Raw genomic sequence first — 12,143 nt, forward strand, 5'->3', positions numbered from 1 at the left:
TTTGGGATTTTAATTATGTACTAGGTGTGGAGCCTAAGACCTAGACAGAAGTGCAGGGAAGGTCTGACTCTTCCCAGCATTTAGCTTAATGTGTCTCAGGCCTTACTTAGCTGTAAAGAAGGCAAGTTGTACAGCTAAGAGTCATAGTGGCATTTTAAAAAGCATTTAGGAGGCCTAATAACTTTTAAATTGTTCAACATTTCTTGCATAAATTCCCTCTCATAAATTATTTCATGACTTAACACAGATGAGCTACAACATGCTTTCACTTTCTGACTTGTTTTAAACATCCCTCCATTTTAAACAACCAGTTATTTTACTTTAGGACAAGAATTTACCATACAAGATTCTTTCTTACATAAAATGACAACAGTCCTTTCCCAGAACAAACTTCCTTCATGCTCATGGACTAGACTGCTTAAGGCCACAAGATTAGAAGTTACAGTATGTTACTAAATAATTCAAGATGTGGCTGCCTTCATTAAACCAATATTAATGTTTTATTTATCAAAAATTATACAAGCAAAGATCATTCTGTTTTGGGCTGAGTTTATAGTTTTGTAGCCCCTATGCCAAATTTTGACACCTTATAATATTTGGTTGGGATAAGAATGAACTTGCTTGATCAATAAATGCAAACAAAATGTATGCTGGAAATTCTTAAGATATTTCTAATATTACTTTACCAATAATTTAAAGCTAGCTAGCTTATTAAAGATTTTACTTAAGTCAGATAAACTTGAAAAAGCATTTGACCAGTGTTTCCATTTTTCCCTTAAAGCATTTGATTTAAGCACTTTTATTTTTCTTTAAGCCAATTAATTAGAGCTCTTTTTATTTTTTTCAGTAGTGAAATACTGTGTATACAGCATATAAATATATAGACAGACATCCAAACAGAAGTACATTTTATAGATTCATAAGTCCTCCTTTTTTCCTATCTTAGACTTGCAAACTCTGAATAACCTGGTACATTACCCTGGCAGTGGTCAGCTAAATAGCCCTAAATCTGCATATTGAAGGAAACAACTCTTAGGTGAAAACTGAATTGGCAAGATTTACATCTCAAGGCACAGACAGAAAAGTCTGGTGGTGCTAGACGGAGATTACTAACTTTATTTAGATATCGACTATCTATCTTTTAATTGGCTCTCTGAGCTCTGGGCAGAGCCCACACTGAATCCTGGGTTTTCAAAAGGAAGGAATATTATGAGGCTAGATCATGTGATGCTTTTACAGTGCACTTAAAAATTTTTTTTTCAAGCAAAGACATTTCTAAGTGTCTAAACTACATTTTTCTTACAGATACCAGAGTAGCTTCTGTTGCAATAACTACTAATGAAGAAAACAGAATTCAGTCAACTGAGAAAAAAATAAATCCTTTTCTCAAAAAGACAAGGTCCTAGGAGAGAGATAAACAAAAATATGCAGGTCTTTTAAATACAAACACACACATATGCACACATATATATACACATCTTGGATGTTAACTTTTAATTAAGTTGACTCTTAACCATGGAGCTCCTATAAAAATCTTTTTCTTTCCCAGAGGCCTCTCAGCAGGAGTTGTGGAGGGGTACCCGTACCGTTTCTAATCTGACAGAAGTCTTCCCAGAGGGCTCTCTGACGGAATGGAGGCAGCGTTCCCCATCTTAAATTCAACAAGACTATAGGTACAGATCCAGAGATTGTTTAGATAGACACAGACACAAAGATAGTTTCAGATAGACACAAAAGGAGGTGCACGTGGGTGAAATAGGCCTGAAAACCAAATACCAAACGGGTGTACAAACCAGCCCTATTATCTTCCTGATGGTATGGAACAAATGGCTTAATAGCCCAAATAAGGAAATAATAGGCTCCAGGCATACGGTTCGGTTTTCACTCACCCTTTGAGCTAGTCCACTCCTGCCAAACTTCCGTTCTTTCCTAGTGAGGAAAAGCACATGCAGTTTTGCCCATGGGCCGGCCCTCAGGAGATTCCCTGGGACAATCTCACCCGGCAGCTGCTGGGAGTCTCCTATTGACCACCTCCTTGCAATCTGCTGGCCACCGAAGGCAGCATCGTCCTGGCGGCCTCCTGGCTGAGTCGCCAAAATTTTCGTTCCCGGAACCAAGCCGGGTCTGGCTGCGTTTTCTCGAGGCCCAATAACGAGATGCAGACAAACTATGAAACAAGGGAATGTACTGCTGTAACTGGATACAGGGAGAAGGTCAGAGAAAATTCCACCAGACCAATTTAAAGTGTCACAATTTTCTTAGTGCTTATATAGGTTGGGGTTATGTGCCTATGTGCAGTATAGCATTCGCCTAAGTCTGTTGGTAACTAATTTTGTTTCAAGTACAAGGTCAGCAAGCAAAAAAATGCTTGCTGGGTCCTATTAAGCTGTGGGGGCCCCAGTACCTTCAAGACCTGTCTATTGTGTTACTGGAGTGATTATTTCTATCTTACCTTTATAGCTTGATCTGGAGAGCTGCCTTAGGCTCTCCAATGAATCTATTCAAACAGCTGCCTCTGTTACCTTGACTCATCTCAGATTTTGTTGACCTGAGGCAGGTCCTGGCCCTAGGAATGTAAGGCTGTCTCTATTATTTTGGCTTGTTCCAGGTTAGGGAGAAGCCCATGCAAGGCTCCTACTGACCATATGTTTCATTTCTAGCTTTGATGCCTGGGCACTGATTTCCCTAGGTTTAACTACTTGCTCAATGTTAAGGCAGTGCTTTGTCTGTGTAACTGGAGTGCTATGCAGGCTTGTCTGTGTGATTGTCAGAGAGAAATGGCCTGCCACACCCTGAACTAGGAGAACCATTTTTTTCATGGTGACAGGCAGGAATGAGTCACAGAAGTGGTAACTGATAGGGCCCAGCTGAAAGGTTAAAAATCTATAGGAATGCAAAAAAGCATAAGGCCCAGATGGCTTCACAGCCAAATCTTCAAAGACCAGACAATCCCATTGCGACTTAAATTGTTGTAGAACATAAAAACAAGGGAAGATTTCCAAGTTATTTTTCTAGAAGTAAATATAACTTTGGCATATAAGTTGTTACATAGCACAAAAGAGACTACAAATTTATCTCACTAAAGAATAGAAAAGTAATCAAATTGTAGTAACAATCAAAGCATATTTTGAAAATACACATTATGACCTGTATTAGTTTCCCAATGCTTCTCTAACGAATTGTCACAACTTAGTGGCCTAAAACAATACAAATTGATTATCTTACACTTCTGGATGTCAGAGTCTGAAGTGAGTCTCACTGAGCTAAATCAATCTTTTGGCAGGCAGCCTGGCCAACATGGTGAAACCCCGTCCCTACAAAAAATACAAAAATTAGCTGGTGGTGGGCACCTGTAATCCCAGCTACTCAGGAGGCTGAAGCAGGAAAATCACTTGAACCTGGAAGATGGAGGTTGCAGTGAGCTGAGATCGTGCCACTGCGCTCCGGCCTGGGCAACGGAGCAAAACCCTGTCTCAAAAAACAAACAGACAAACAAAAAAGAACCTCTTGTCAGGGCTGAGTTTCTTCTGTGAGTTCCAGGCAGAAATCTGTGCCCTTGCTTTCCCAGCCTCAAAGCCAGCAATGCTGCGTCTTCTCTCATCTGATCTCTAATTCCATTTTTATTTCCATTTTTATATCTTTTCTCTCTGATTCTGATCTTCCAGGCTCTGTCTTATAAAGATCCTGCGATTACATTGGGCTTAACTGGACAGTCCAAGATAATCTCCCCATCTCAAGATCCTTAACTTCATCACACCTGCAAAGTCCCTTTTGCCATGTAAGGTCACACATTCTCAATTTCAGGGAATGAGGGTGTGGACATCTTTGGAGGCCATTATTCACCCCACCACATGCTTCAGTTGGGATTTATTTTAGAATTGCAAGGATAATTTGATATTAGAAAAACTATTAATATTATTTACCATATGAATAAATATAGAAAAAATAATATATGGTACTCCCTATAGATCTAGAAAAGACCTTCAGCAGAATTGAACATTTGTGTCTTTTAAAATCACTAAAATAGGAATGAATATTCAGTCAACATCATATATAATGTATTTATATACATTATGTGTAATATATGTAAATACAATATATTTACATATATACACATATTTATACATAATGTATATAAAATGTATTTATATATTACATATATGTACATATTACATATTTATATACAAAATGTATATAGAGACATTTTATGTACTTTTATATATAAATATGTAATATGTACATACATTTTATATATAAATATGCAATATGTACATATATGTAATATATAAGTATGTATTTACATATTATAAATGTAATATGATAAAGTTTACTTATATACATTTACATATATAAATATACATTTATATATTTTATATACATTCATATATAAATATAAAATATACATTATAAATAAAATAATGCATATAAATTCATTTTATTTACTTTTATAATTATAAATATATATTTATAATGCATATAAATGTGTAAGTAATATATATAAATACATTTTTCTTATACATTTTTATATATATATATATATTTATATACCTAAGACCAAACACCAGTTTCTTAGGAATATGACAAGGACACCACTATATTCTCTATTATTTATTATTATACTAGAGGCATTGCCAATGTAATTAGAGACGAAGAAAGAATTAAAGGTATAAAAAATGGTTTTAAAAAGTTATCTTAATTTTCAGATGTTAGGAAACTATATCTGAAAATTTCAAGAGTACAATGATAAAAATACTACAAATATTAAAAGAACCAAGATAGATAAATATAAAGTCAATATAAAATATAAACATACAAATTATTTAAAATATTTGCTTTCATACATACAAAGAAACCTTTAAAAATATATAATAGATAAGGAAACTCCCATTCATAATAGCAATAACAAGGTAGAATATTTAAGAATAAACTTAACAAGAAATTTGCAAAATTAATAGGATGAAATATTTAAAACACTCTTGAAAGATAAAAGTAGACTTGATCAAATGCAAGAACATTCCTGTTCTTAGATTGGATGTATCAGCTTCATAATTATGCCAAATTGTCTGAAGTAAATAATATAATCTCAGTAGAAATATCAACAAAACAGTATTCTGAAGCTCGGTAACTTCATTTCCAAATTTGTAGCAAATAAACATGCAAGAATAGCTAGGAAACCCTCATAAAAGATGAACAATGAAGAGCTGATAATAAATATCCCTCACAATTAAAAGTGTGGTGCTGGCATATGAAATAAACAAATAGGCCAATAGATTAGAAAAGAAAATGTGGAAATAGCTATAAGGGAATTTAACATATGATTAAAAGTAGAATCTCAAATCAACAGTGGAAAAAGCGTAATTTTTCATAAGTGGTATGTGCACCTAGATTGCCTTTTGGCAAAAGATAACATTGGGTCCACACTTCACACCAGAATAAATTTCAAATGGATCAGAAGTCATAATAAAAATGAAGCCATATATATATTAGAAAAAAAATGGGTAAATTTCATTATAAGCTGAGTATGGAGGAAACATTTTCAACTTTGACCCAAAATTCGGATATAATATTAAAAACAGAAGATGTATAAGTTTAACTACATAAGTTTGTTAAAAAATGGCTAATTCCAGGCCTGGGGAGAGAAAGGACACAATGATTCTGGGACATCTCATTGCAATAGAAGGCTAAGAAATGTCCAGAGACTAACAGTGGCATTAAAAAGTCACAGGAACTGAGTTACATAGACCCCTGTTGGCCTAATTTGGCACTATTTGACCATCAAAAAGAAAAGCCATGGTAGCGGATCATTGCATATTGAATTTTTAAAAAGAATCCATAGTACATTTGTCAAAACTAAGAAACTGACACTGGTACATTACTATGAACTAAACTTATAGAACTCTCTATATCTTTGCAATTATTCTGTAAATCTAAAATCATTCCCAAATAAAATTTTAATTTAAAAAGAGAGAGAGAATTCATATATTGATCATGATCATGATGAGGTAGTGGAGTGAGGGGGGTTCCAGAAGAATGCTAACTAAAAAGAAATGAGGAGAAAGAAGGATAGAATTAACAAATCAGTATTTTATAACTCCAAAGTGAAGAAATTAATTCAGGCAAAGATGATCAATAAATGTTAGTACCATCTGGGGAAAGATCTTTGGTTAATAATGCATTCCCATGCCTCAGAGTCACACTCTAGGGATGTTCTCTTAATTACAAATTAATGAGATATCTTTACAATGAAGAGATCTGGGAACCCCACCTTATTCAAGGGACAAAATTTAGCATCACCAATAGCAGAATGAACTGGCTCTGTGGACCTCCTGCTGTGATGCAATGAGATGTAAATAGCCCTCTGTCACATTCTTCCAAGAATATTTTAACTGAATCTAATCTTGAGAAAACAAGCAAAGATGTCCAGAATGTGGCACATTCCACAGCACAAGTAACCTGAACCTCTAAAAGACATCAATGTCAGAAATAACCAATGCATAAAAAAGCTGGTAGACAATTCTGAAATTAAAGAGACCTAAGAGATATGATAAAATGGAATGCATTTACTTTATTTGGATTCTCTTATTAAATAAGAATAAAAACAAAAACACTACTAAAGGATGTCTTGAAACAATTTGGAGAATTTTGTGGGGCGGTGAGAGGGACAAGGTCTGGCTCTGTCATCCAGGCTGGAGTGCAGTGGCACGAACACAGCTCACTGCAGCCTCTGCCTCCAGGGCTCAAGCCATTCTCCCACCTCAGCCTCCCAAGTAGCTGGGACTGCAGGCATATGCCACCACACTCAGCTTACTTTTTAATTTTTTGTAGAGATGAGGTCTCACTATTTTGTCCAGGCTGTTCTTGAACTTCTGGGCTCAAGTGATCCTTCTGCCTCAACCTCCCAAAGTACTGGTTCATTGCAGGCATGAGCCACCATGCCTGGCAATTTGGAAAACCTTAATAAGGGTGGCATATTAAATTATATTATTGAATCAATGATAAAGTGTCTGGATGTGAAATTGGTGTTATGAGAATGTCCTTGTTCTTATAAGACACAGGCTAAAGCATTTGGAATGAGGTATCATGAAGTCTGCAATTTATTTCCAATAGTTTCAGAAAAAAGTGTGTATGTGTACACATACTGAAAGATATAAAATTAATATGGCAAATGTCAATAACTCATAAGTCTAAGTGAAGTGTAAACAGATGTTCAGTGCTGATATTTTAACTTTTTCTTGCTTTGAAATTTTCAAAATATTCATTTGAGGGTAAAAAACCTGCTGGATGAAGAAGGAAGAGGTAGAATAGAGGAAGAAAGTAGTTGTCAGATTTAATAAGTATCAGATACTGTATCTGTCATTTTCACAACTATTGTCTCATAAAAACCCCCTGGTAAACTTTTAAATAGATATTATTATTCTCATTTTTTTTTTAACAAATGAAGCTATGGTGGCCCAGAGACGTCCCACAACATGCCTAAAATCATAGATTTTTGTACAGGTGGAGCCTGGATTCAAAACCACTTTTTTCAGGCATCCAGACTTTCTCTCTTCCATTTAAAAGCACTGGGGCCAAGGACCTTATCTGGGTAGCTCCAGACAAGGCTTCCACACTCAGCACAATAGTCAGGAGCCCAGGATGGCCAGAGACTCTAAACTTCTAAGAACGCAACCTCCTCCATTTGCAATTCGACCTCTGTCAAATAGCTGTTACAGTCGTGAGTTGCTTAATGGTAGGAGTATGTTCTGAGAAATGTGTCTTTAGGTGATGTCATTGTTGTGCGAACATCACAGTATTCTTACACAAACCTTGATGGGATAGCCTACTACCCCCCTAGGCTATATGGTATGGCTTATTGCTTCTAGGCTACAAAGCTGTGCAGCTTGTTATTGTACTGAATACTGTAGGCAATTGTAACACAGTGGTAAGTATTTGTGTATCTGGACATATCTAAACAGAGAAAAAGTAAAGTAAAAATACAGTCTAAAAGATAAAAAATGGTACAGCTATATAGGGCTCTTGCCATGAATGGAGCTTGCAGGATGGAAGTTGTTCTGGGTGAGTCAGTGAGTGAGTGGTGAATGAATGTGAAGGCCTCGGACATTACTGTGCACTACTATGGACTTTATAAAACTGCACACTTAGACTACACTAAATTTATTTTAAAATGTTTTTAAATATTATTAAGGCTAATAAGCTAACATTAGCTTACTATAACTTTATTATTTCATGTCGTTTTAAGTTTTCAAACTTTTTTAATCCTTTATAATAACACTTAGCTTAAAACACAAACACATTGTACAGGTGTACAAAAATACTTTCTTTATATCCTTATTCTATAAACATTTTTCTATTTTTAAATTTCTTATTTATTTTTTACTTTCTAAACTTTTTTGTTAAAAAATTAAGACACAGACACACACATTTAGCCTAGACCTGCACAGGGTTGGGATCATAATATCACTATCTTCCATCTTCACATCTTGTCCTACTGGAAGGTCTTCAAGGCAATAACAGGCATGGAACTGTTATCTCCTGTGATAATGATGCCTTCTTCTAGAATCCCTCCTGAAGGACCTGCTTGAGACTGTTTTACAGTTTAAAATATGTAAGTAGAAGGAATACACTCTAAAATAATAAGAAGAAGTACAGTATGGCAAATACATAAGCCAGTAACATAGTTCTTTCTTATTATCAAGTATTCTGTACTGTCCATAATTCTATGTGCTGGACTTAGATGACTGGCAATGCAGGAGGTCTACTTATACCAGCGTCACCACTAACCGATGAGTAATGCTTTTTACTTACACCAGCATCACCACTAACTCGTGAGTAATGCTTTGCACTACAATGTTACGATGGCTACAATGTCACTAGGCCATAGAAAGTTTTCAACTCCATTGCAATTGTATGAGACCATGGGTCATATATGTGGTCCATCATTGGCCAGAATGTCATTATGTGGTGCATAGCTGTATATTGTCTTACAAACGCTTCAAAAGGAAAAGCTGCAATACCACCAAATTCATGGAGTGAAACGAAGTAAAAACACTGCTTCAAATAACTGAAAATACTTCAGCTTTTCTATCCTAAACTAAAGGTAATCCAAATGCCTCAAATGTTTCCCACAATATGGTTTAAGGACTCCTAAATATTTATTTAAATATTGTTTTTAATATTCTTTTTATTGAGATATGGTTCACATACCATCACATTCATCCCTTTAAGGTATACAATTCAATGGCTTTTAGTATATTCACAGAATTGTATAACCATCACTCACAATCAAATTTTAGAACATATTCATCATCCCAAAAAGTTGCTTCCCATTTCCTCTCAAACCCCTCCATATCCTGGCAGCAGCTAACCTACTATCTGTCTCTATGATTACCATTTCCCTATTCTGGACATTTCAATAGATGGAATTGTGCAATATGTGGTCCTTTGTCACTAACTTATTTCACATAGCATCATGTTTTCAAGGTTCTCCCATGTTCTAGCGTGTATTCGTATTTCTTTTTATTGCCGAATAATATTTCCTGTTTGGATATACCATATTTTGTTTATCCATTCATCAGATGATGAATATTTGGATTGTTTCCACTTGGGGGTTATTATGAATAATGCTATTATGAATAAGCAGCCATGTACAAGTTTGTATGTGGATGTAGGTGTTTTACTGTCTTGGGCATATATCTAGAAATGGGATTGCTGGGTCATGTGGTAATTCTGAATTTAACTTTTTGGAGAACTGTGAAACTCTTTTCCACACTGACGCTACCATTTTACATTTCCACAAGCAATACGTGAGGTCTCAATTTCTCTACATCCTCGCTGACACTTGGTGTTTATAGTCATCTTAGTAGCTGTTTGGTTCCATCCATCCAACTGGGTGTGATGTAGTGTCTCATTATGGTTTTGATTTGCATTTCCCTAGTGACTAATGATGTGCATCTTTTCATGTGCTTATTGTCCATGTGGATGACGTCTTTAGAAAAATGTATATTCAAGTTTTTTCTCATTTTAAATTTGGGTTTTTTGACTTTATTATTATTTTTACTGTAAGTGGCCTATAATTTATCTAAATTCTGCTGCCTACACTGCATATCATTATGGACAAATTACATAAATTCTTGGCACCTTTGTTTCTCCACCTATCAAAATGAGATCATATTATCAATATCACAGAGTTTTTACGAGGGTTAAGTGCATATAAAGCATTTATGGCCAGGCACTGTGGCTCACGCCTGTAATCCCAGCACTTTGGGAGGCCAAGGTAGGCAGATCACTTGAGGTCAGGAGTTCGAGACCAGCCTGACTAACATGGCAAAACCCCATCTCTACTAAAAACACAAAAATTAGCCGGGCATGGTGGTGTGCGCCTGTAATCCCAGCTACTCGGGAGGCTAAGGCAGGAGAATCACTTGAACCTGGGAGGCAGAGGTTGCAGTGGGCTGAGATTGTGCCACTGCACTCCAGCCTGGGTGACAGAGAAAGATTTCCTCTCAAAAAAAAAAAAAAAAAAAGCATTTATTACAGCGACTGAAGCATTATAAGTGTTCAGGAAATGAGATTCAATTCTGAAAGGACTCATTGATTGTAGAAAGTAACCATGGTGCAATTAGGATTCTGCAGTTGGGGATTTGAGACAGCATTTACGGAAATAAAAGGTAATAACTGTGCTCAAAGTCCTGTCAAAAAGAGTTATGAAATATTTATATATCTTCAGTAAGGATATTATTAAATATCCCCAGAAGACACATTGAGTTTTGCTACAATTACATAAATACAATAAGAACTATAATACTGTAACTAGATAGGAAGGTTTACAAAAAAATTTAAAAACAAAACAAGTTTAAATAAACTAATTACTCGACACGCATGATTATAAGGTTTTTTTATGTTTTTATATGCATTTTACATGGTTTTGTGCTCAACAGCCATGACTGGGGAAGAATGATTAAACATTTTTCTTTAGCAGAACTAAATAGTTTCTCTATTAAGAAGTAAAATATCTTAGGAGGTTTTATTTACTTCTTGGAGAAGATTTTGAAACCAAAGCCTCCATTCATTGTTCAAAGGATCAAACCAATCCTGCAAATGTAGCCCAGCTGTGGATTTGGTAACAATAAGCAAAGGTGGGCCAAGCAGAGAGTACTGTATTTGTTTTTCACAGAATCTCCTTAAATTGATTGATTGCCTATAGCTCTCTGTGCTAGTTGTCTGTTCAATGGCCAGTGTTGCTAAGCAAGCTAGATTAAGGTGGCTTAATTGACTGGTATTTCAAGAAACAGTCCACAGAGAAGAGGTAACTCCACATGCCATTTCAAAGTTCAGTTGGACCAGGTGGCACCACTTAGTGAGTGAAGCTGTATCCAAGACATCAAAGGGGGAAAGGACAGTCAGTGTAGGGAGCCCCTGAACAAAGAGCAGATGACAGTTTTGCTGAGACATGATTGGACTTCTTTAAATATTATAAGGACCATTGTATCACCAGGTCATTATATTTTAACTCTCTTAGTTTTACATATAAAATTTAAAAGAAGCATTTTACATGAATAAAGATTGTCCAAATATAAGTCAGGAAATAAAACTGGCTTAAATTTAGAGTATGGCCATAACATAATTGTTCTTTGCTCTATCTCTGCAGAAAAGAATCAGAGGGCACCTTCTGTAACACAGGCCCTGACTCTCTTCCTTCTGATGAACCTCGCACTGTGACACAGGGGAGAATCCCAGAGGACAAGATCCTAATGAAGCACAGATCAAATCAGTTCTCTCCACCATTAACTGCAAACAATAAAGGTAGGAGGTGGCTTAATCAGCCTCTAGGCTAAATGCAAATTATGTTCCTCCTCTTTTAGATCAATGTCATAAAGAGATAATGCTGTTACTCATTTAGCCTCATGCAATCTCTGTCACTGAAAGGAAGAAAACATGATTATGTTCATTTACCAGGTTAAAAAATGACGTGCAAAAAAATTAGATGCCTGACCTAATGTCATGAAGTAAATCAGTGTGGCAAATCTCTTAGATGTTCTGACTCTCAAGCCATGTTTCTTTTTAATACAACATGCTCTGTTTTCTAATATATATTATCTGGAGCTAAGTTGTTTTAAACATTTGGTTAGAAAAAGGAAAATTCA

Source organism: Homo sapiens, chromosome 8, assembly GCF_000001405.40.
Source record: "Homo sapiens chromosome 8, GRCh38.p14 Primary Assembly".
NCBI classification, from domain to species: domain Eukaryota; kingdom Metazoa; phylum Chordata; class Mammalia; order Primates; family Hominidae; genus Homo; species Homo sapiens.